Genomic DNA, 26,651 nt, shown 5'->3' on the forward strand with positions numbered 1-26,651 from the left:
GTGAATCTAAAAGACAAACCACTAACTAGCCTGTGCTTTGTTGCTATGAGAGCCTAGATTATAAAAGAATTTTCTAATGATGTATCTGAGGGTAGCAAGTAAGTTTGTCTTCACAATACCCAAAATGATGTTTCAGCTTTTCTCACTTTTCAAGCCCATCTTATTTCCTCTGTACCTTTATTATTTTGGTATCATTAGGTAAGGTGAAGAATAATGTAGGAAACAAATACCCAGCTAAAACATTTATGGGTTTCTCGTATTTGTGAATAGGATTTTAGGCGTCAGAGCAGTCTTGTCTTGTCTCAAAGATAGATAGTATCCAATCTTTTGTTAATAAGCCTATTGCTTGACTTTTTTGGGTTACTTTGGAATTACACATTTGGTTGAACGGCTTTGTGGATCTGGGGCATATGCCAATTAAGGGGCACATGCCATGCGTTCTGTTTTCCTGTCAGCCTGTGTACACTGCTGCTTCTGAAGGCATAAGTACAGGTGCAGTTTCCACAACCACGTATGATTGACAGATGGTGAACGAAAGGGGAAGGCTTCCACTTTTTTTGCCCTAGTTTGGTACATAATAAAGTGATTGCAAACACATTATACATTTATACATACCTTCACATGGCAGTCCAACACGTAATTGTGACTCCAAAGATTTGAAACAAACAAAAGGCATTCCTTTTTGTATTACTTTACTTTGTACTTAGTTCTTTGTTTAAAGAAGAAAAATCTTTTTTACCTTTTTTTTTTTTTTGAGACGGAGTCTCGCTCTGTTGCCCAGGCTGGAGTGCAGTGGCACAATTTCAGCTCACTGCAAGCTCCACCTCCTGGGTTCATGCCATTCTCCTGCCTCAGCTTCCCGAGTAGCTGGGACTACAGGCGACTGCCACCACTCCTGGCTAATTTTTTTTTGTATTTTTAATAGAGACGGGGTTTCACCATGTTAGCCGGGATGGTCTCGATCTCCTGACCTCGCGATCCACCCACCTCGGCCTCCCAAAGTGCTGGGATTACAGGCGTGAGCCACCGCACCCGGCTGAGAAGAAAAGTCTTTCTTTAAAAGCTGTTGTCACTTAATCACCAATGTATTTAATGGCCAAATTTCCCTAGTTGGTATAAACTACTCTTAAAAGTTAACAAATTGAACATATCAAACTAGTTTATTTACCACACTTAATTTCTTCTGTGTATGGCCTATGTTTTGGGTACCCTGACATGAAATGCAAAACCAGATTCTTAATGGTGCCGATCCACAAACACTCAAAGTCCCCATGTTTAAATGAAATCTATGAATTTTTTTTATTAAGGATTTGATAAGCTGATATAATGAAAACATGTAAATGAAAAACATTTACACTGACTGTACGACTAGTGTGCTAAGCCATTACAATAGTTTACTGACATAACTGGCAAGAGTAACTTGGAAAATAACTTAATCCAGCAGAACAAAAACATCCTCAGAAAAACATCCTCAGTAGTACTGAATATATCTCTCTCATATATCTATCTATCTATCTATATATATATATATATATATATAGCTTTGCACAATCAGGGAGCAAGGCACATAATGAAATGAGCATACATTTATGCAGAAGAAAATAATAGCAACAAAGCTGCGAGAAAAATTGTAACTTCATCTTCACTGAGCTGTGCATAATCCTTTGAATAATAATGTCCTCTACCTGGTACATTATAATGAAGTTCCTTGTCTTCTTCATGCTTTAAAAAAGTATACTTCTACATTGTATCTACCTATGGCAAAGCTCCCACAGCCTACAAGTTGGTGTGAGCCTTGACTCTTGTTTTTTAAAGAACTGAGGGAGGGAGCAATCCCAGTTAAATATAATGTGCAATTCCCCTTTAACAGTAAACAATGTTTTTAAAACACTTAGCACAAGCTAATTTTATCTTAAATGTACATCTCTGTAAGAGTTCACTAGTGGCTGATAGTAAAATGAAGCAAAATTGTTTGAAACATTCCAGTTAATGCTTATTTTCTAGAAGGGGTTATTTTACAAGTAGCAAAAAAAAAAAAAAAAGTAGGAGGTGGGGAAATAATATGAAAAACGGCAGTTTTTGGTATTAGGTTACAATAAATTTAACGAATGGACAGTTTGCAAAATATAAGGGTTTCTCCCCCTTTAGTGCTGCAGACAAGTTTTACTGCCTAAGACGTTGAGGCTGCAACAATCATGAGCTTGGTATTAGTAGCCATCCATGATAAACATAATTAATTCTCAACTTAACCATCTATAAAATATGTAGTGTTCACCATCACCCTGACTCAATTCACTTCTCTAAATGTCTTTGGTAGAAAGCAGCCAGACCCCACGTGGGTAGTGATGTCTCTTGTGAGACACTTTTCATTTCTGCCAAAACTAGAAATACCACCTTCCTTTACTTTCATTAGCACCTCAAAGTTTGCTTGCTGGATTTCTTTAAAAATATTCTGCCAAAAGAGTTGAAGGCACTGGGGGTTTACAGCAAGTATTTTCTCTTTAAAACGGTTTATTACTTCAACAAGCAAAGAGCAAACCAACTGGAGAAATGTATGTTTTTTCTTTTTATTTATCAAGTTTTATTCTACAGCTAAATTTCAGATTTCTTTTACATATAGACCTTGCAAGGGCACGGTAAGAACTGAGCACTTGTTTTATTTGAGGGATAAAGGTGTAGAAATTTTCTCTTTGAATTTTATAAGGAAAGGCTGGGTACAGTGGCTCATGCCTGTAATCTCAGCATTTTGGGAGGCTGAGGCAGGAAGATCACTTGTGGCCAGGAGTTTGAGACCAGCCTGGGCAACACAGTGAGACCCCCATCTCTACCAAAAAAAAAAAAAAACCTTAAAAGATAATAAGTATCTAATTCTTTTATACTTGCATTTCTCTTTGGATCAAATCTCAACTTTGTGAGAGGTCATACATTTCTACAGGGTTAGGAGTACCCTGCATAATTTATACAAATGTAAAGTGTATATTAAAAAAAAAAAAGTGAAAGTTACCTGCAATCTAAAGGGTTTTCTTCCCCTAGAAACAGTCACCCTCTCGTCAAGTGTATGACCCAATTATACCTATTTTATGAAAAGCAAGGCATCACATTGATAACCATACAGGATCCTATGGGTTTAACTGGTCTAAACTTGAGTGGATTAAATCAGTTGTAATTAGTTAGCTCTGTAGGTATATGAAAAACTTTTGGTAATGTACAAAAATAGGAATGGGTTTTTTACCTGTTTAAAGTCACTTTGTGTTTATAACAAAATTACTTTTAGCTGAGGAACAAAGGTGACAAAGATTTCTGTTGGTGGCTGAGAGTCAAAGCAGGCCAATCCACACCATTACCTGAAATATTTTTCAGGCTAATTTATAACTTTATGGATTTCCTCGATACAAGTTTATTAGTTTATTCTCCATATACAAGTTTATTCTCCCAGAATAGCAGCAAATAAAACTTGAATTGGATGTACAGCTCCTAATAACCTTGATGTCAGAGTTGTCACTTGGTTGGAATTATTATGATCCCCCAATTTAAATTTTCTTGATAAACTCAGCGTTGTTTGTTTTCAGTGACAAGAAAACATACATGGAAAGGGGACCCAAGACAGTTCACCAAGATAGTTCACAGCCCTTTGCAGGATATGCCTTTGGTGGGTGGGAGCACCTAGATTTTAGAGGACTATAAAACGCCATGTTTACTTTGTTTGAAATTTTCTGATGAAAAGTCTTTTGTAACTTAACATTCCACATTTTCATTTAAAAAGTCCCAGAAATATAAACTATCCAATTTACAACTAAGGTGGGTATCTGTAAAAACCTTAAGAATAGTTACTCTTCCCAAGAGAATTACAGCGTCTAAGGGGGGGAAAGAAAGCATCTGAGCAGTAAAAGTCAAGCTGGTAAAATCCAATACAGAATATCTAATAAACCATAAGTTATTTTACTGAGAATAGATTCTGCTGCCCTACAGCATTGGTGCCAAAACTCTAAGCATAGAGTGATTCTACTTTGAAATTATCCATAGTAGAAATTAGGAGTGTCACTAATTAAGCAAGTCACTACCTCTAATAAGCACCTGTTTGCACTGCCCTCAGCAGCAGGATGAGTTAATCCATGCTGTTCACTTTTCAGTACAGCCAAGTCAACTGCACAGACTTGAAGCAGCCAAGCTGGGTGAGAGCTGCAGAGCAGAGGGCAGTGAAAGAAGGCACAGTACTAGTGTCGTGCGGCAGTAGATGCTTTCCATGAATACACCAGAGAAAAAGAGCTACAGAAATACAGTCTAGGAAAAGCTACATCCCAACAAAAATCCAAATTAAAGAAAACCCACTAGGGAGTAAAACAGAAGTATAAAGTATCACTTTAGTGGTTTTTTAAATTCAGTTCATACATGAGGTTAAAACATTTTTAATAGCCATTTCTGTCTGTGGAGGAATGTAAAGGGAAATGGCCTGTTGTCGGACAAGCCACTGGACTGGGGTTAAAATGAGTCTCCTCCTCTAGCCTTACTCTCTTCCTGGCATCATTAGTGTTCAAAAGGATGTCTGCTATTCCAGGAAAACAGACCAGAAGCATCTGTTCAGGATGGCTATCATCAGGATTGATACAAGCAAGAAATTCCAAGAAATCCTGCACTGAAAACATAAAGGCTGTTGTTTTAGGGCTCAAATCATGGGTGAAAAAAGGTTAGCGGGTACATTTTTTCCCCCTCAAGAAAAACTGAAGTGTTGTCTACCTTCTCATGAGAAAATCACCACCACAATAAAACTCAAAACCTCAGGGATGAATACTTTGATAACTGGATTCATATTCTTACTAACTCTAACCCACAAATATGGGTGCCCCTCAAACTATAAAACTGCAGGCAGAAGACTATGAGAAATTCATTCATGAATCACAGTAGCGCTTGGCAATCTACTCAAACATTACCCAAATTTCTGTGCATGCTTAAATTAACAATGCAGATGTGTTAAAGATCACTTCATAAATATCAAACACAAAACTTGGTGAACAATTTGAAAGACCTAAAAATTAATGGTATATATTCTTATTGCTCCATAACCACATGAACATAACCGAACAATATTCTGGAGATGTAGCAATGGAGAGGTGCTGTTCACTCTCTGTTTACGATGCGGTTTTCGTGGAGTGTGGGTTATGCAAGACCTTGAGTATACTGTACTAATTAAGCACTTTTGCTCATTCTAGAATTATTTACCATCTCTTCCCCCACTTTACTGGCATCACTTTTTCCTTGTGGGACAATGTCAACTGATTTCTGCAGTTTGCATTGGTAATCATTAACAATAGGCACAGACTTTCATTACAAGATGTGCTCCCCTTATAAGTGCTGGGATGGCCCATTTTTATTCTCTTGTTTAGGAGCTGCTCTGAGATTGTTTTATTCCTAATAGTCCAATTTATCATAAGTTGATGAGAGTACTTATTTCTCTCATGTACCAAGGAAAATTCACAGAAAAAAGCATATAGAAGTATAGTGTGTCGTTAGAGCACTGACTCCACGTTATACCAAACTGCACACGCATAAAACGTAATGTCAGTTACTGGACTTGGACTGTCCCACTCCATCAGAACACCTAGTAACCTGAACTAATCACAACCAGGCTGCAGTCAGCAAGGGTCCTGGTAGCCCCAGTAGCTATAAATGAAACTGTCTTCCCTCTCCATGTAGTCCCATACTTAATGAGCTTTTTGTATTACATATTATAACCCATATACAACCAGATTAATGACACCTGTACAGGGGCCAGTTCTGTTCTCTCATCACCCTTCCCTTCTATAGAGCAATGCTCAAAAAATGCATTTTAGAAAATGATTTTGTTTTTCATAATGCACCATATTGGGGCACAGGATGTGTATATTTCATATACCAATTGTCTACAGATATGTAATAACACCTACCTAAAGCACATATTTTAAGAAGGTAACTGGTGACCCAAAGACATACTGGGACAGAACATTACAGAGATAACTGTGTTATCCATCCTCTTAAAATCAATCAAAGTGAGGATCATGAAGCCAAGTTGATAAAGCTTCATAAAACAGTACTAAAAAGGAACTATCCAGAATTATAGCACTAATTATCCATGTATTGTAGGCAAAGAGCTTATCTGTCAGCACATCCTAAATGTGGGTGGATCACTGCAGCAGTACTGCAGCTAGAACAGCTGAGTTAATTACGCCATGTATTTACTTTCTATGCACAACCACATACAGATGATGTCTGTGAACATTTCCCCATCCTGCACTAGTTACCCGTTCTATGAAGCTGAGAGATTTTCCTGATTTAAAGTGCCCCTTCATGTATAGCAATGAAGTGTCAGTCAAGCAATTCTAACTTCAGCCAACTGGGGAAAAACAAACACAAAAGCCTTATAGATACACCAAACATTCTGGTGATTTTTCTCAACCAGAAATAGCACATTCTACATCTATTCCTTAGTTATATAATACACAACATGCACGAATAGGCTACACATGGACAGACACTTATAAATACCTTCTAAATAAGTGATTAGAAGTTTTTGGTCCAATCCACATGATATAGAAATCTTAAGAGACAACACACATCCCCTTCTATGCCTCTTCCACCCAAAATACAGAACACCCATTTTCAGATTAGGAGAGAAAAGGAATAAATAGAATAACTCTCAGCTCTCTCTCTATATACACATACACATACATATATGTATACATATATACACACACTGTACAGCTGTGTGTACATGCACGTGTACACACACACATACACATATAGCTGGACACTACCTGAATAACATCATACCAGGAGGCTCTGAACACCTGAATTCACAGATGATCAGGTGAGCTGATTGTAGCAGTGATTACAGATATCATGAAAATAAAGTCCTATGGTGGCTACCAGTCTCTGGAGAGCTTGGTGTTCTGGTCTCTTTTGGGGGGAGCAGGAGGGGGTCCTCTCCGCAACGTTGCATAGCCTGATATATGACTGCCTCCGTAACCAGCCTTCTGTTGATCAGACAGCAGTTCAGGGGGTGGTGGAGGCAATGCCATATCATCCATGGTGGCTGTTGGTTCTGCTCTGGACATGCGGGAGGAGAGTGAGCCGTGCCGAGTGATGGACTTTCGTTGCAGTGTCCTGTTGAGGTCAGCCAGGAATCCAGGCTGGACACTAAGGCTGGATTTGGGAGAGGTGGGCACTTGTGGCACAACTGTGGCCATTGTTGGCTGCTCAGAAATCTCAGCTTGAGTGAGGCGGGTGCTATCATTCCGTTTGGGTCGTGTGGGTGGAGGGGCCTTCTTCACTGACATTTTAGACCATTGTTGTGGTTGAGGATTAACGACTGCCACTTTTGGAGAGGTGTTTCCCGAGAAAACTGCTGGAATCTCAATGGGGGGCAGAGGAAGCTCTGTTTCAGGTGGAGGGGGTGGAAAATCAGAATCGGATGGAGGAGAAGGAAATTCCACCACGGAGTCCTTTCCACGCCCACTCAGAACAGGGGCTTTTGCTGACACACACCCTTGTTGGAGAACTCCAGGAAGGTTGACTCCAGAAAGATTGAGTTTTCCAGGCTTGGGGGGTGCTGCAGGAGGTGGTAGGGTCTCCTTGCTGGGAGACCCTGATTCTGCTGGCGGTGTAAACTTGCTGACTAGACTGTCCACCGAGGGTCTCTTGGGCTCGGGGTGCTCTGCACCACTGCTGGATTTAATGCTGGAGTTGCGCTGTGGGGTTGGGGGTGGTTTCTTTCCCCCAGGGCTGGACGTCTTACTGGTCTTTTTGCCTGGAGATCCACTTTTGTCAGGGGTAGGAGAAGCTGTGGGTGGAGGTGGTGGTGGTGGGGCTGGGACAGGTGATGGGGGTGGAGGAGGAAACACCAGGCTGCTTTCAGGAGGGGGAGGAGGGAAGTCCGGAGAAGGGACTGGGATGGAGCTGGGCTGCCACTTGGGCTTTGCTTTTACTGCAGGAGGGGACTGTGGAGCTACATTTGCTGGGACAGGCTTTAAGGGCTGAGATTCCATGGCAGGGGGAGTTGGAGGGGGTGGAAACTGGCTGGCTATCTGCTTCACGACCGAGGGCACCGGTGACAGTGGAGAGGGAGGGGGTTTTGCACAGAAGCTCTGTTGCTTGGGTAATGTTGGCGGGGGTACTGGAACAGGAGGGGTAGGGGGAGAGGGTGGAATGTAAGAAGCAGGGAAAGCTGGCTGCTTTTTTGCTGGGGGCACTGGAGGAGTAGGTGTGGGTGGTGCAGCTTGAGTCACAACAGGTGCCACAGTCTTGGTGCTGGTTGGTGCGGGGATGGTCACAAGGGGTTTTGGGGGAGCTTGGGGAGGGAGGGGTGCAGGGATAGGAGGAGGTGGGGGGGGTGTTGGGGGAGCCACCTGAGTAATATGCTGAACTTGATGGATCTTCAGTGGAGGAGGCGGGGCACTGAACTGTGGAAGGGATGGGGCACACGGTGCAGGCTTTAGCTGGGCCATGGCAGAGCCTGGGGTTGGGGGTGGAGGAGGGGGAGGGGGTGGTGGAACAACTCCATTGGGGGGTACCAGGATCTGAGGCTTCACTGACTGTGACTGCATCACTGGGGGTGTTGGCGGCTTAAACAGGGCCCCTGAATGCTGAGACGCATTCTGTAGCCGTGTTATTGTGCTGTACTTGACGAACATTGGGGCTGCTGAGCCTGCAGAAGGTGCAGACTGGCTGGGGAGTGGGGGAGGAGGGGGTGGTGGAGGGGGTGGTGGAGGAGGAGGTGGGGGTGGCGGAGGAGGTAGAGGTGGTGAAGGCTGTGAAGCAGTGTAGGGGGTGACTATCTTAGGTTGCGGGGATAAAGGGGGCACAAGTGAAGTGTAGGGCCGATTCATAGACTCCATTCTGGCCTAAAAGGAGTATAAAAAGGGAGTGGGAGAGAGAAAAACACAACAAACAAAACAGTTACAGAGGTAAGCTTTGATTGTGTAAAACTAAAAAGCAGGGAGTCTGGGACATGCATGAAAAGGATGCAGAAGTTGGTGGTGATCATAAAGATGGACAATGTCAGGAAGGCTAAAATCTGATTGTGCGGGCAAGAAGGAAACAGAAAACTTGTTTTACCCCACAGTAAAATAGCTAGACCATCTAACAATCTAGGAAAAATGTCCGGCTGCAAAAGCTGTTTGAATGGTGACAGGATGCATGACTTCTGACCTTGGCTGTATGACTTTGACACAGCCTGCCCTACATGGAACCCTCTGTGGCGGTCCTCTGAGCACTGGACTTCCAAGGGGAGATGTGATGGCTCCAGTTTACCTTTCAGTCCATGACTGCATCCACATCAAGCAGATGCTATAACTGGGTTTAGGAGGGCTTCCTGGTGGAATGAGGATGGCTTTTTGATGCTAGTAAGCTGACACAGGAGAGTATGAGAATGTTGAGCAGGCGTGCACAGTCACACAGGAATGAATAAGCTTGACACACACACTCGTGTTGGTGTGAGACAATTGCATCCAACATGCACAGAAGTCCAGCAATGCAGGTAAAGGGGGGACATTCTTTACATTTGTTTTACTGGAAAATACATAAAGAAATGCTTTGTAAACATTATAGCAAAAGACTGTAAAAATATCATACAGAAAAAGCCAGAAGAAATTAAGAGGAAGCTCTGGAAGGCTAGAATAAAGAAAATGTATCAAGAAATGGCAGCTAGCATTTGCCAACAACCAACCCATCTGGGTAGCTGAAATGATCACATCTGGTAGTTTATTTCGTGGAGCTAATCATGCACGATGGTGGTTCAGGTACTTTGAAAAGAGGAAAGGAAGGACCCTTGTTTTAAAAACTTTAGGTACATCTTTTAGGCTCTTTGAACAAACTTTGAGGATCCAAGATAAACCATTTGTTTTCAATTTTGAATGACATCGAGAATGCATGGGTTAGTGAACTAGAAGGCTCATTATAGGGCTGAATTCTAATAGCCATCCGGACATTCACATGTTTCTTTTAAAATTACACAAAAAGATTAGTCTGTGAGATTGGGATACAGGCGTCACCGAGGTTAATGTGTTTCCAGAGAACAACCCCTGACCTTAACTTGACCCTGTCTTGGCTGCTTCAGGGGCGCAGGCCTTAGCTGTGCTGGCCTTCTCATTTGGCACCTGAGACTGAGGTAACAGGAGAAGAAATACAGAGTGATCAAGCCTTAAAGCATTACTGCTGACAGCAGGGTTCCTACTCTTCTGAAACTCTGTGCAATAACGGACTTTGCTGCTTAATCACAGAACATTTTGGGTCTGTGATTTTGTTTTCCTTGGCCTTACACATAACTAGGTTCTATAACTTAAAATGCACACGGATCTCACCATTAGTAATTTGGTAAGGCAAAGGGGTTTTTCTTTAGCCATCCGAATTCTGTAAACCAACTTCTTTAGTACATTTTTAAAATACTAGCTCCATCCAAATTGATTAAATGGGGGAAGGGAGAGAGAAATTATTTCTTAAAAGTTTGAGTCTCTAATAAGGGAGTTAAACTCAGTGTTTTGAGAATTTAGATCGTTAGAACCAATTCTCAAATGCTCATTTCTGAAGGAAAGGGCTTCAGCCCCACATGGTGCTACTAAGGCCTTCTCTTCCCTGCGGGAGCCCAGTTAGTGAACCACATATACGAATGAAGGAATAAAAGGAAAAATGTCCATTTATTCTCATTCGTGAATGTACCTGTATAAGTGATTCAGACCAAAAGCACCCCCCACCAAAAAATTAAATAAATAAATAAAAACAATTATTAGTAAAAATAAAATAGTTGAGCCCAGGGTGCCACTGGTTCCTCAATGATGGAGTGACCTCTTGCATATTGAAATGGTGACTACAGCCAGGACACATCCTTGCCTACACAACTACAGATGATGTCTGATAGAAGGCCATGATGTCTTTCAAATGAACTGAAGAACCTCTCTATTTTCCTAATTATAGTCTTGCAATAACTATACTCATCCTTCAGTCTCACTGCACAATATACTATGCAAGGCTCAGGAATCCAAAACTTTTAAGGGAAATGATTTTAATTTAGTCTTCCACATAAAGTATAATTTGAAAAAATTCATCAATGCCCAAAGAAATGGCAAAAGCATTAAAAAAAAAAAAGGTAAGGAATGAGTCTGAATAAATTAACCAATAAAGAAATAACTGGACTGAATATGGTGGCTCATGCCTGTAATCCCAGGACTTTGGAAAGCCGAGGCAGGAGGATCGCTTGAGGCCAGGAGTTCGAGACCAGCCCAGGCAAAATAGCCAGACCTTGTCTCTACCAAAAAATAAAAAACTAGCCAGGCATGGTGGTGTGCACCTGTAGTCCCAACTACTCAGGCAACTACTCGGGAGGCTGAGGTGAGCAAGCAGGCTGAGGTGGGAGGATCATTTGAGCCCAGGAGGCTTAAGTGAGCCCTGATAACACCACTGCATTCCAGCCTGGGTGACGGGAAAGGGAGAGGGAGAGGGAGAGGAGGGGATGGGGAGAAGGAAGGAAAGGAAGGGAAGGAAGGGAGAGAAGGAAGGGGAGGGAGGGAGGGAAGTGAGGGGAGGGAGGAAAGGAGGGAAGGAAGGAAGAAAAGAATAAAAAAGAAGAGAAAAAAAGAGAGAGAGAGGCTGGGCACGGTGGCTCTCGCCTGTAATCCCAGCACTCTGGGAGGCTGAGGCAGGTGGATCTCGAAGTCAAGAGGTTGAAACCATCCTAGACAACAGGGTGAAACCCTGTCTCTACTAAAAATACAAAAATTAGCTGGGCGTGGTAGCATGTGCCTATAATCCCAGCTACTCGGGAGGCTGAGGCAGGAGAATCGTTTGAACCCGGGAGGCGAAGGCTGCAGTGAGCTGAGATCACGCCACTGCACTCCAGCCTGGCGACAGACTGACACTCTGTCAAAAAAAAAAAAAAAAAAAAAGGAAGAAGAAAAAAAGACAGGAAAGAAGAGAGAGAACTGTAAACAGCTTCTCTAGAATTTAGGGCATTTGCAATAGATGGTGTTTTGCCATCCAAACTGCTTAAAGGTGGAAAGGAAGAAATTGTTATTTCTTAAAAATCTGAGCCACTGATGAAAGAATTAAACTGCCAGTTTTTTTTGTTTTTTTGAGATTTTAAGTCATTAGAGCCAATTTGTAAAATACTCATTTCCAAGGGGAAGTCAAATCAACAGGTCTCTCTGAACTGTCTTTACCCACTACAATTAGGAAGATTGAAAATTAATAAAGGAGACTGAAATAAGGCCAAATAAGATCCCCGATAAAGACATAAGAGAGCAACAATTTAAACCCAAAAGAATACCACAGAATTTTCAATGTAAATTAAAACGAAGCTGTTACCTTGCTGGACTCTTCCAACTGAGTGCCTCGTTTCCAGGCTTCAGAGAATACGGAGCTCACAATGCTCTGGGAACGGACGTGTCCTGCTGGCTGGGTGTCAGAAACTCCGCTATCAGACTGATTGGAGTGGTTTGACTGAGACTCTGTTTAAAATAGTTTTTTAAACATAGGTTTAAAAGAGTCAGTATTCTGACAATATTCATATGTATGTCTAGTTAGATCTTTTACACAAGGTCAAGTGCTGTGTACAACAGCACCAAGTTATTTTACTCATTTCATCATAAACACAGCCAGTATTTTCTACTAGAAAACTTCCCTTACCTTGGAATTAAGAAATCTCAGATTAGTGTTAAATATTTCACCATGAGAGACTGATAATTATAATAAATGATTCACATAACATTATTGGTATCCTGACACCCAGTCTTGCATGAAATCAACTCTAAACAATAAAAGAATTAATGAACCATCAGTAGAGGAGTCTCTCAATCATGTCTGCATTACATTGAGAATCAGCCTTTTTAATACCCCTGCCTTAAGGTCACGCCAGAATTGTAACTTAGGAATTCGGATCTATACACAATGATTATTTCCTTTTTTCTAGCAATGAGCAATACTTAGAATTTGACCCTCTAGTGCGAAGTGTGTTTCCTAGGGATTTAGGTATTGGACCCATAGGGTGGCAGCTGTGCTGTATCCTGGCCTGTCAGCAAGGCACAAAAAAGTTTTGAAAGGAGTGGGGCCTGGTGGGAATGGCTGTGAGCATACAGTGTCTCTTTGCCGCCTGAGCAAGGAGGCTGAGGTGGGAGGATCATTTGAGCCCAGGAGAGTTAAGTGAGCTATGATAACACCACTGCATTCCAGCCTGGGTGATGGGAGAGGAAGGAAGGAAAAGGAAGGGGAACCATGTTCTGGAAGGGTTGTTGGTTGGTTTTTTTTCCCCATTTTAATAAATATTTTCTTAGAATAGTTTTAAGATATCTACATATTAGATATTTGAATATTAGAACAGTTTTAGCACAGAATTCCTACATACCCGGCATCCAGTTTACCCATTTAGCAATATGTTTGGTTTTAAAGAAATTCTCCTTTGGGGAAAAAGTGTCCTCTTTTAATTTTATTCCCTTTTCCCCATTATTAACATGTTACATTACTATACTACATTTGTCACAACTAAGGAAATGTCCTGCTACTATTAACTACGCTCCACACTTTATTTGGATTTCACTAGTTTTTCCCTCATGTGCCTTTTCTGATCCAGGACACCACGTCACAGTTAGTCATCATGTCTCCTATAACGGCTTCTCAGAATTTCCTGTTTTTGATGACTTAGACAGTTTTGAGGAATAGTGGTCAGGTATCTTGTAGACTGTCTCTCAGTTTTGGTTTGTCTGATGCTTTTTCTCTTGATTAGTCTGTTTATGGAACTTGGGGAGGAAGATCATAGAGGAAAAAAGCCATTCTCACACACTATGTCAAAGGTCCCTATAACCAATGTGACTTAGATACTGACCTTGACCACATGGTTGTGGCAGTGTTTGTCAGGTTTCTCCACTGTGAAGTTACCCCTAATCCCCGTTCCATAATCACTGGAAGCAAGTCACTAAGCACAGTCCACACTTGAGGACTTAGGTAAGCTCTACTTCCTTCAGGACAAAGTGTCTTCATAAATCATTTAGAAATCTACACAGGACAGTTCTCTCCTCTTCCCCATTTATTTATTCAATGATTTATTTACATCAGTATAAACTCATGGATATTTATGTCCATGGGTTACAATCCTATACTATATTACTTATTGTATTGCTCAAATTGTTCCAGCTTTGACCTTTGGAGCTCTTTCAGACTGGCTCCTCTGTGTATCCCTTTGACATATTCTCATCTTGTGTTTTGTGAGACAGGGTCTCGTTCTGTTGCACAAGCTGGAGCACAGTGGTGTGATTATAGCTCACTGCAGCCTTGAACTTTTGGGCTCAAGCAATCCTCCTGCCTCAGCCTCCTGAGTTGCTAGGACTATGTGTACTACTAAGTCTGGCTAATTTAAAAAAAAAAAAAAAAAAAAGTTGTGGAGATGGGGTCTTGCTGTGCTGCCCAGGCTGGTTTTGAACTACTGGGCTCACGTGATCCCTTAACCTAGGCCTCCCAAAGCATTGGCATTACAGGCGTCAGCCACTGTGCCTGGCCCTACTGTCGTTTTTTAAGCATTCCCTTACTTTCTGGCATTACAAGATGCTCTAGGCTCATCTTGTATATATTCTCTGCTGCAGCCCTATAATTTGCCATTTCTTTGAGAGCCTTGGTTTTCTTTTCTTTCTTTTTTTTTTTTTTTTTTGAAGAATGGTATTAGAAACCATGATCTATTTAAGCAGCATCCTTGGCCAAAATTTAATAAAACGAAAAAACAAAAAGAAACCTCTATGATCTAGGGACTGGGTATTCTCATTGTTCCTGGGGTATCACTGCTTCTAGTCCTCAGTGGACAGCACTAGGAAATGTATGTGTATATACACATTCTAAATTTGTTTTTACTTAATAGAGATGAAATAGAGTCATGCAGCTTTTAAATATACTACTAAAGTTATTATTTCTTTCATCACATCCAATGCAAAAATTTAAAAATTCTGCTTTTAGATGACATGGATCTCATTCATGAAACATTTTGAATTGAAAGAAGATTTATGTTAAGATGTAATCATAGCATGCACTTGTTTAAAGGATATAGGAATCTGAAGGAGTGCAGCTTCTTCATGGTTTCTGAGTACAAAGATTCTTTCCAAGTAATGTTTTATCCCAAATTATGCATTAACAGTGTCCAGCAGTATGTATGTTTTGAATAAATTTTATAAATATAAATAACAAAACTGGCTTTAGAAATCTATATACTGATTTTTCATTTCAAATACATTTGTGAACTAGCCCATGATACTGTACCCTCTAGCAATTTTTAAAAAGGCATCTATTGATTATAATTTAGGAATTAAGTATGGCTCCGGTTTTTAAGAATCAAGTTGAAATTTCCAGGTCTACTATCAGTCTCTACAGAGACCTTCATATTAATCGCAAAATAGTGCTTTGAAGCATTTTGAACTACCTGGGATGCTGGAAGAACTGGATCCCGATTTAATGCTGGAGCTGGATAAGGAAGTCCAATCATAGGCTGACTCTGTCCTCTTCAAGGCTTCTTGGTAGTTCATATAGAGCTGCTTCCCATACTAAAGAGAAGACAGGAAATGGTGACATCTAAACTTTACTGAGTATGATACAGAAGGATAAGGTGAAATGGGGGACATATTTCTGTTTACTGATTGATGGTCTGTATTAAAATTAATACCTATGATAGTTCAAAAATTCCTCTAATACCATAAATTATAATCTATTCTTATTTCTCCTCATTTTTAGAGGGGCAGCAAGAAGTCAACACTTGATTCTGTTTGTTATAAACATTAATGTTTTTTCACCCCAAATTCTTGATCCAAGGGCAGCTTTTTAGCACTCTTCAGGATACTGCTCCAAATGTGGTTGGTAAATGATCATTACTTAAAGTAATTTAATTTTTCCAAAACTTACTTTGCTTAGGCTAAACTCTACTATTTAAGAATCATATAATGCATTCTCCAAAGCCAAAATAAATCACTTTGATACTACACAAGCTTTTACCAGCAATATTATTCCAAGTATACCAAATGTTAAAAGTTTATCCCTATAAACAAGGAAAAAAGACAACATTTAAAACTTGAAACTTAGGCCTGAAAAACGTAGGCACTGGCAAATCCATGAACATGAAATAGTCAGAATAGTTGTCATGAAAACGAAAACTATATCATCGACAAACACCTCATTATTCCATCATCAAATCAAAAGGAGACATGCCTTTGCAATGCGGATCCCATTGACCCACTGATGCAGTGTCCTCACATCATCACAACAAAGGTATTTGATATATTGAGATTTCTTCTGGATTTGTGGATGCTGCAAGATTAAAGACAAAATCCAACTAAGTCCCTTGGAGAACTAAAGAAAAACAAACTTTATCAAAGCTTAAACATATCCTGACAAGTTATAGGCCATTAGAGTAATGGCCAATACATTTATGCTTCTTATATGGCCATAAGGCCAAATAAAGTAGCCCATAAGAATTTTTACAAAGTAAATGAGAAAGAAACTTTTGTGAAATTTTAGATCAAGATATCCAAGTTAAAATAGATCTTCACATCTTGAGAAATTCCCAAACGTTCCTTCTACATTTCAAAGAAACAAAGTTCATCAAGGTTAACAGAGTCCATAGAATTCTCCATCTATAAGATTATGGAAAAGGAAGAGAATGTTTAATTTCACTTTCAACCCACTGAAATTATGGGTGCAGAAGACTCCAAATCAGAGAGGGACTTTGACAAAGCTTCAGTGTCTAGAGGTGAGGTGAATTACTGGGCTGGGTACACCAAGCCTATGGCACAGCACCTGGGACAAGAATCTACAGTCACACCTGTCACAGGGAAGTACAGCCCTGTAGGTCCCACTCTCTACCAAACTGCAGGGCTGCAGCACTTGCCTCCAGGGGACACATAGATGTCAACAGCATCTTCACATTTAGTTTTCACAACCCACTGTACTTTTCAGTTGAGGCTTGGATGAGAGGTGACTGACTGAACCTTGGCTACAAAATCCAGGTGTTAGGAATATGTTTAAGAAATTTTAACACCACTGAGCCTCAACCAGTAGGTCCTTGGAAAGAAAAGCCCTAAATCACACTTGTTCTGAATGTAATGACTTATGAACACCACATCTCTTTTCAACTATTCTGAAAACCAAAAAACTAATGGCTATAATTTGCCTGGAAAAAATTTTAAATTTGTGTTCAGTTATAAGAAAGAAAAAGGCCAGATATGGTGGCTCATGCCTGTAAACCCAGCACTTTGGGAGGCCGAGGCGGGTGGATCAAGGAGTCAGGAGTTCGAGACCAACCTGACCAACACGGTGAAACCCCGTCTCTATTAAAAATACAAAAATTAGTTGGACGTGGTGGTGCATGCCTGTAATCCCAGCTACTCAGGAGGCTGACACAGGAGAATCGCTTAAACCCAGGAGGCAGAGGTTGCAGTGAGCCAAGATCGTGCCACCGCACTCCAGCCTGGGTAACAGAGCGAGACTTCGTCTCCAAAAAAAAAAAAAAACAAAGAAAGAAAGAAAAAAAGCTTTAAAAGAATTTAGTTTTCCAAAATTCCCCAATCATAGTCATTTGTTGTGAAAATCCATGAGCTCAATAAAATAAGCAATTTAAATAAGTTTTCAATCCATCAAGAATAGATGGCCACCAACATAAGTTATGTATCTGCATTGTTAAAGATCAATCACTCTGGTCTACAATGAGGGAAAAAAAAAAGAAACCCATTAATTCTATTCTTTGCTTTTCAGAGCTCAGCTCCTATAACATTTAATACCAAAACCAATTTTCTTGTTGAAGGTTATAGTCAGTTTTAAACAATAAACCCTCAACAATAAGAGGTTAGCAAAATAATACCTAACAGTCTTCCCTCCTGATAATATAGGCCCTCTCTTGGAATATGCTCCTTGTCCACGGTAAATTACATTATAATAAACCATAATAGTGACCTTGAAAAAGCAAAGGAGGGCAGACAGAGAAGTATGTATTCTTCTATAAAAGGAGGAAGGGGGATTTTACCTCATTCATTCATTCAACAGATACTTATTGAGAACTATTTGCCAGGTGCTTCAGGTAGGTTTAGTGATGAGCAAAACAAAAGCCATAGTTTGTGCAGAAGATAAAATAGGCCAACTGAAAAGAGCTCTGTTAGTGTTGCCAGTGAGGGCTTAAGAGACTGTTCTGCTTCATGGAGGCACTGCCTGCAGGGCAAGGTTCAGAGATCTCAGCAAGCTGCTTTAGATGGCTCGCAACTGTATCACCACGCCCTCCCTTCATGGTGATTTGCAAACTTGACTGCATAGGTGTTCAACTGTAGCAGAAGCCCAAGTGTGCATGTGTGCTTCCATGCGTTCTGCACAAAAAGAGGGTTTTTTTTTTTTTTTAATCAAAACAACATCTGGGAAAATCAAAGAGAAATTATCCTCCACCCTGTTCTCCTCATCTCTCTAACCTGGGAATACAGATAATAACCTGAAGAGTACTATGGTATAAGTATGAGTCTTTTTAAGTCAAGTATCAGATTACTGCTAGTTTAAAATTCCTTTTAGAACCTCAAAACATTTTTTCATCCTCTCACATAATAAAGGCATTCATTACTTTCCTTATGGTCATCCAGGCTCTGTACAAGTACTTCTGCAGATTGTCTGTTCTGCTAATACATTATTTTATTAAAAGTGGCATTTATTGCACCCTTGCTATGTACTAGACACTATGTAAAATATTTCACATACTTCACATTTTTCATTAAATACTCACAAAACCTCTCTGAGTTACATATTATTATCTCCATGTTCCAAGAAGAAAGCAAGGCACAGAGTAAGGTTAAAACAGCGCTCAAAATTGCTTCCGATAAGTGAAAGGTAGTACTAGAATTTGAACCCATGCAATCTCATCCCAGAGTGCATGCTTTTAACTACTATTTCATACTACTGCCTTATTAAAATGTGCCCCTTTGAATCTGCTACCTCTGCTCCTTTTTTCCCCACAATATTATGCTGTCATTTTTAAAATTATACCAGGGTTAAGAGGAAGGCTGGAGGAAACATTCATTGCTAAAAACCAGAAGCTCCACATTTAGATTCTTAAGAGAGTCCAGAGAACATATAATGAAATTGCTCCCAAAACAGATGAATACCTATTAAGAAAGAAAGGTCAACATTTCATTTTTAAAATGACCCTGACAGGTTGAGTGCAGGCCCCTATGGCTATCTCCTCCTCCCCACTTCTTTCCTGGCAGAGCCTTACCTCTCACCTATATCCCACAGGGTGTGAATTCTGACTGGTGTAAGCCAACCATAGTAGTTTTATTCCCTTGTCAGTGATTGGCTTGTCAGCAGAAAATGTACTCTGGGCCAGTAACTCTCAAAAGGAGGGTGGTTGAGTAACTTCTGTGAAATAGTTCCTTCCTCTTATAAAAGACAAATACAGGGAGCAATAATCCCTCTTCTGCTGGCTGGATTTTTCTGGGTCTACATGTGATGCATAGAACTGCAGCAGCCATCTTGGGACTGTGAGGTGAATCAGCCTGAGAATAAGCTGATATGCGGGAAGTAGAACAAGGAAAGATGGAAAGAATTTGAGTTCTCACTGACAACCTTGAGCCACTGAAATAACCAACCAACTTTTACTGTTTTCATGTTATGAGAGTCCCCCAATAACTTTCTTTTACGTGGATTATGTCTACTGATATTGAAGGAGTTAAAAATGTACCACCCTGGCATATTGACTAAGTTAAAAGACACTTGAAAAACAGCAGGTACAGAAGATCACTCTGACCTTCATGCTATTTCTTAAAAGCCTTAGAAGATGAAATTACCATGCAAAAGATGCTTTCTCAATACTAGAAAGCGAAAATATCTTTCTCCTCAGGGATGAGAAGTTGAAACCAACAGAATTCTGTACAGACCTTGTTAAAATAACTCGTATCTTTAAGGCTTCACATATAATTTAGTTGCTTCTTCACAAATTATTCTTTGTCCAATCCAGTATACAAGTAATTATGCTTTTCTCCTGTTGATCTCTTATGTCAATTTAATTTGTGTGCCCAGCTAGGACCCTAAGAGTATGAAGTGAAGTTTTTCCACCCCAGCAATACTTACATTATAAATTAAAACTAAGAAAAAAATTAAACTACAAGAATACACAGGCCAGGCCAGGCACAGTAGCTCACGCCTATAATCCCAGCACTTCAGCAGACTGAGGCAGGCGGATCACTTGAGGCCAGTCTGACCAACATGGCAAAACCTCATCTGTCCTAAAAATACAAAAATTAACTGGGTGTGGTGGCATGTGGCTGTAGTCCCAGCTACTCGGGAAGCTAAGGCATGAGAACTACTTGAACCCGGGAGGCAGAGGTTGCAGTGAGCCGAGATCACATCAGCCAGGGAGACAGAGTGAGACTGTCTCAAAAATAAATAAATAAATAAATAGACAAACACACATTACACTAGCGTGAAGATACCATCACATGTCATATAACCTCTTAGAAAACTCCACTATACATATGTGAGAGAATGAAAGTTCAAGAGGCAAATAACATCTTAGCATTATTAAATAATTTTGACATCATGGTCTTAGGGACTGACTCTCAGGAGACTGTGGACCTCATTTTGAAAACTGCTGAATTAAGCTACTTTGTACTGACTTTTAAAAAACTATTTGCACCTAAAGGTACCTAAAATGATACAGTGGTGTTCCCCAAAAACACAATTATGTAATAAAAGGTTACCATTATGGCCAGGAGCAGTGGCTCTGCCTGTAATCCTAGCACTCTGGGAAGCCTAGGCAGGCAGATTGCTTGAGGCCAGGAATCTGTGACTAGCCTAGGCAATATGGCTAAACCCTGTCTCTACAAAAAAACACAAAAATTAGCTGGGTGTGGTGGCATGCACCTCAAGTCCCAGCTACTTGGGAGACTGAGCTGGGAATATCGCTGGAGCCTGAGAAGTCGAGGCTACAGTGAGCTGTGATTGTGCCACTGCACTCCAGCCTGGGTGACAGAGCAAGACCCTGCCTCAAAAAAAAAAAAAAAAAAAAAAAAAAAAAAGGTTGCTACTACAATGTACTGACTTTATCAAAGCAATCAAAACTCCAAAATCCTAAAATCCTAAAACTCCCAAACTAATGGCAGTCCCCAAACTAAAGTGACAATTCTCAGAGAAAAGTGAAATTAAACATGATATGAACATGTAGACCTAAGTAGTTACCAAGAAATTACAAAGATGGAGCCAATGAAAAAAAAATTATCTCCCTAATTTTCTTGAATTTTTGTATGTCGTTTTTATCAGTGTTCTAATAGATCACTATAAATTTGCTTAAAATGTCCGTTCTTCTCAGAAGTACAGATATAATCATTGCAAGAAGTACAAAAGCTTGAATAAAGAAGAAAAAAAAACCTCCCTAAAAACAGCTCAGGTCACAATACATACATGGGCTATCATGACTATAGTTCAGGGAAAAAAAGAGACAAAAATTATTTCTGGACCAGATAACAGCCAGTCTGATTTGAACTTGGACACAGTGCCCTCTGATGGTTTGCTGAGTAAGTACAGGAAAAGAACTAAAGCACATTTATGACCTACATTCGGCTCTGTTCTAAGTTTTCCTAAAATAAGCCTGGTGTTAAATGAGAATCTCAAATTTATAATCAAATACATTTTATATCTCACAACTCAAAGCTTACAATCTAATATTCACTCCTTACCTAGAGATAATTGGCCCAGGGTCTGCTATGATATAGCACATGCTTCTTTTCCTTACCACACTTCACCATTCCTTTTTAAACTTTGAGAATAAAGCAAAAACAGTATAATTGATGGAATCTCAACAGTTCTAAAATATCCAATAACCTGCTCTATGTCTAACATCAATTAAAATTCCTAAAAAGAAATATGTGTTTACCTTCAGCACCAGACAATAGTCTGTAGGTGCTTTGTATTTGTTCCGATAGTCCTGGCCATAATAAACGTTGACATGATCCAGCTGGAGAAAGCACACCAGATCCCGAGAGACCTAAGATAAAAACACCAAAAAGATAAAATTAATAATAATGCACAAACAAGCAAATATACCTGGTTAACATTTTCTAGGTGAGAATCAAAACTACTTTTGCTAATACTAAATAGAAATTATTGCTATTTACACGAGACAATGAGATGCTCCATAAATGTTTCTTCTTTAATCATTAACGTAACAAAAAAGCAGCCCATTTTACTTACTGTTTTGTCATTCACAATGAACACTAACTTGTTAAGGAGTGTTGGCATTTTAAAGATACTATTAATATAGTCTAGTACATTAAAAACAATAATGTATAATAGAGCTCTCTGGAAAGAACAAGAAAATATCAAGTCGTTCAGTGCCTATAATGCATATGTAAAGTATAGTGATTCGCAACTGGTTGGGGGGAGGTTTTCACCAGTTAAATAGGGGCAACAATATATGCTCATAGGACTATTGTGAAGACTAGATGAGATAATACTGTAAAAAAGTTTAAAACAGTCCTGGTGCCAATAAGCACCGAAGTGATAGCTACACCAGGGTGGCCCTTAGCAGAAGAAGCATATTACCCAAACAAGATAAAAAAGCCTGTAATCCCAGAGAGCTGTGCTGTTCTTCCCAAACAAAAATAAACAAAACTACTCCAGAAAGAGTCCCCAAAAAACAACAAATAAAACTATGATTTCAAATTTGGTAAAGAGAACTGAGATAGGCTCAACTAGTGACCAGAGAAGTAAGAACTTTCAGGTTTCTTCTTCTTTATAATAGATTAATAAACAAAGCAATATTCTATGTCTTCCACGAACTGAAACAAATCATAGCCTGGGTTCACCTTGTCAGCATACTCAATACAAATTAAAAGCAATTAGCATAATGAGGAAGTTCAAATTCCAACAGAAGGGACACACCTTTGCTTTTCCTTTGGGAACATAGTAGATACCAGATGCTCGCAAGAGAAAATAACGCTTTTTCCAGGACTTCTTGCCATCATCCTTCAACCAAAGGACTCCTTCAATTTCTGGTACAGTTACAGAACTTCCACAAAAACATTCCTAAAATAACAAGATTATTTGCAAAGACTTATGATCGTTGGATTCTCAGAACAAAGTTGTGTTTACTCCTGTGAAATGCATGACAGTTATTAAACCAAAATGGTTTTATATTAAAACCAAGCTGCTAATTTAACCTCAATTAGAACTTTCCAGCCAGGTGTAGTGGCTCATGCCTGTAATCCCAGCACTTTGGGAAGCGGGTGGATCACTTGAGGTCAGGAGTTCAAGACCAGCCTGGCCAACATAGTGAAACCACGTCTCTACTTAAAAAAAAAAAAAAAAGCCAGGCATGGTGGCGCGAGCCTGTAGTCCCAGTTATGTGGGCAGCTGAGGCACAAAAATTGCTTGAACCTGGGAGGCGGAGATTGCAGTGAGCTGAGATCACACCACTGCACTCCAGCCTGGGCAACAGAGCGAGACTCTGTCTCAAAACAAAAACAAAAACAAAAACAAAAACAAAAACAAGACAAAACACTTTCTATTCTAAACACAATATGAATTTGGAACTACTATGGCAATCCTAAAATGTTTATTAAATAAAAATGCCAGTCATACATGTAATACTGAATTTTTACCTACAAACTTTTAACTAAAACACTGTTTCGGAGAAAAACTAAGTTGACACATGAACTGAGTTGCATGTAACAGTAGTTAAATACCTTTGCAAACAGCACAGTTACACTAAATTTAATAAAACTGTCAGGGCAAACCAAGCGTTAGACTTTATTTTTTCTCTACATTTAGATTAGCTGTCAAACTAAACAGGAATATATTTTAAAAGAATGCAACGTGCTAAGTGTATGATTAAACTTTAAGAATTTAAAAACTATCCATTTATGTGACTCTAAGACAAAGAGGGCATTTATTTAAAAAATAATACTAGGTTGAAAGGACTATAAACACTCAAAATTCTAAGTTCTAAACACTATGCTTTGATAAAAATCTAATATTAAAGAAATCAATCATGTATTTGTGAAAGAAAAGAGAAATCCTCAGAAAACACTAATATAGGACATTTGGGCCTAAATTAATTTTTCTCCTCAAAGTACAGAAAAATTAGGAATTACAAGGCAGATTTTTACTTAACCGTAGTTAGTATCACTATGAAAACTGAATGTTGATCTTCGCTTCCTAATTGCCTTGCTGGTAAGTAAGGGTTTATTCAGGTTTTCAAGTATACTAAGTTATTTGATTTTAGTTCTATAAAATCAGCCAAAAATTCAATTATATTTTTCCAAAAAATGATCATGATTTTAAAAATTATTTAATTATTTAAGGATAAGGCTGGAAATAATTTGTGAACAGCTAATTATATTCAAATTTCTCTCTGAGTAAGCAGATAAAAACAGCAAAACCACATCCTTCATTGACCAGCCACCTCTCCCACTTGGCAGCCCCTAAAAGCTCATTATTCTTAGATCACTAGAATATGGCTTGGCAAAATAATAAAGGGTCTTCAGTGGCCTAACACGTTCACACAGTTGAACTCTCTCCCTCATACTATCAAAGAATACACAGGCTTCTTTAATTAAAATTGTAACTACAAATATAGAACACTGACATACTTGACTTCAAAAAGGTATTTAATATTTTATTTTATTTATTTATTTATTTATTTATTTTATTGAGACAGAGTCTCACCCTGTTGCTAGGCTGGAATGCAGTGGTGCAATCTCGGCTCGCTGCAACCTCCGCATCCCGGGTTCAAGCAATTCCCTGCCTCAGCCTCCCGAGTAGCTGGGATTACAGGCGCCCACCACCACGCCTGGCTAATTTTTTTATTTTTTAACAGACAGGGTTTCACCATCTTGGGCAGGCTGGTCTTGAACTCCTGATCTTGTGATTCACTCACCTCAGCCTCCCGAAGTGTTGGGATTGCAGGCGTGAGCCACCATGCCTGGCCTAATATTTTAATTTTTAAATGTGCAGGAAAATGGGGGTTGTCATACCTCCAAGAGGACTTCTTTGTTTCTATCTGCCATCTCAGCTGTTTCTTTTTTCCCCAAAAGATAATTCTGGAAAAACAAACATATGGAAGGGATGGGTGGGAGAGAAAAAAAGAAGGTTAAAGCATAAATCCATTCTGTTATTCCCTTGGCACAGGTGTGTGTATGTTTTCTTCTAGAGAAATAGCAACTCTGATTTCTGTTGGTATAGAGTAGAATAAACTTTGAAAAGTTACCTGTGTATGGGCATCATCACTAAAATGCTTAACACCAGTCTCCTCCTTGCCTGTCCACTTGTCATAAACTGTCCTTACCCAGACTGTGAGGTGGTATTACATTCAACAGCTGGCAAATATGTTTTGGGATATCTAATGAAAGCTACGTTAGAGGATCTGAAAGGTTTAGAAATTCATAAGTACAACAAGTAAGGCAAATTTCCTTAAAATATACTGATCTAGGTGCAGAAAATTTATGTTCTGGCTTTTTAAGAAGAAATCCCATATTCTCTGGGACTCATTTATTAATAATCTCATTTACTTGACTCAACTAAAAATCTGAATTCTGGCTGGGTGCAGTGGCTCACACCTGTAATCCCAGCACTCTGGGAGGCCAAGGCGGGTGGATCACGAGGTCAGAAGTTCAAGACCAGCCTGACCAACACGGTGAAACCCCGTCTCTACTAAAAATACAAAATTAGCCAGGTGTGGCAGCACGCACCTGTAGTCCCAGCTATGCAGGAGGCTGAGGTAGGAGAATCGCTTGGAGGCGGAGGTTGCAGTGAGCCAAGATCACGCCACTGACTCCAGCCTGGGCAACAGAGCGAGACTCCATCTCAAAAAAAAACAAAAAACAAACAAACAAAAAAATCAAACTGAAGTCTACTCATTAGTACACAGTCATCCCTTGTTGTCCATAGGAGATTGATTCTAGGATCTCCCCTGTATACCAAAATCTGCTGATGCTTAAAGTCACTTATAAAAATGGGGTCACATTTGCATATAACCTATGCACATTCTCCCTTGTACTTTAAATAATCTCTAGATTACTTACAATACCTAATACAATGCCTACCTATCATTTAATTTGCATGAATTCAATGCAGTACTCAAGCGTGGCATATTCAAGTTTTGTTTTTTAGAACCTGGAATTATTTTTCTGAATATTTTAGATCTGCAGTTGTGCAAATCCACAGATGCAGAACCCATGGATATAGAGGGCTGACTGTACTTCTTTTTCTTTTTCTCTTTTTTTTTTTGGAGACGGAGTCTCACTGTCACCCAGGCTGGAGTGCAGTGGCACAATCTCGGCTCAGTGCAAGCTCCGACTCCCGGATTCACACCATTCTCCTGCCTCAGCCTCCCAAGTAGCTGGGACTACAGGCGCCCGACACCACGCCCGGCTAATTTTTTGTATTTTTAGTAGAGACAGGGTTTCACCGTGTTAGCCAGGATGGTCTCGATCTCCTGACCCTGTGATCCATCCACCTCAGACTCCCAAAGTGCTGGGCTAATTTTTTGTATTTTTAGTAGAGACGGGGTTTCACCGTGTTAGCCAGGATGGTCTCGATCTCCTGACCTTGTGATCAGTCCACCTCAGCCTCCCAAAGTGCTGGGATTACAGGAGTGAGCCATTGCGCCTGGCCTGTAATTATTTTTCATAACTGCC

General features: G+C 39.9%; 1 protein-coding gene across 20 annotated transcripts in view; it reads right to left on the reverse strand.

Moving 5' to 3' along the window:
* Positions 1–1,141: 1,141 nt before the first annotated feature.
* Positions 1,142–26,651, reverse strand: part of RAPH1 (Ras association (RalGDS/AF-6) and pleckstrin homology domains 1) — a 101,620-nt gene continuing 76,110 nt past the window's right edge. For 15 of the 20 annotated variants that reach the window (NM_213589.3, NM_001439024.1, NM_001439027.1 and 12 more), the window contains 7 exons: positions 24,990–25,055; positions 22,897–23,040; positions 21,890–22,000; positions 16,198–16,296; positions 15,419–15,539; positions 12,328–12,470; positions 1,142–8,873 (listed from right to left, as the gene is read on the reverse strand). In NM_213589.3, the coding sequence (NP_998754.1) occupies positions 6,897–8,873; positions 12,328–12,470; positions 15,419–15,539; positions 16,198–16,296; positions 21,890–22,000; positions 22,897–23,040; positions 24,990–25,055 (2,661 nt within the window). In that variant the 3' untranslated portion in view covers positions 1,142–6,896. Of the gene's footprint in view, positions 8,874–8,928; positions 10,134–12,327; positions 12,471–15,418; positions 15,540–16,197; positions 16,297–18,007; positions 18,249–21,889; positions 22,001–22,896; positions 23,041–24,989; positions 25,056–26,651 lie in introns of those variants that run through there. The other 5 variants (NM_203365.4, XM_047445551.1, XM_047445550.1 and 2 more) reach the window with 3 other exon arrangements.

Source organism: Homo sapiens, chromosome 2 (assembly GCF_000001405.40).
Source record: "Homo sapiens chromosome 2, GRCh38.p14 Primary Assembly".
Taxonomy (NCBI): Eukaryota; Metazoa; Chordata; class Mammalia; order Primates; family Hominidae; genus Homo; species Homo sapiens.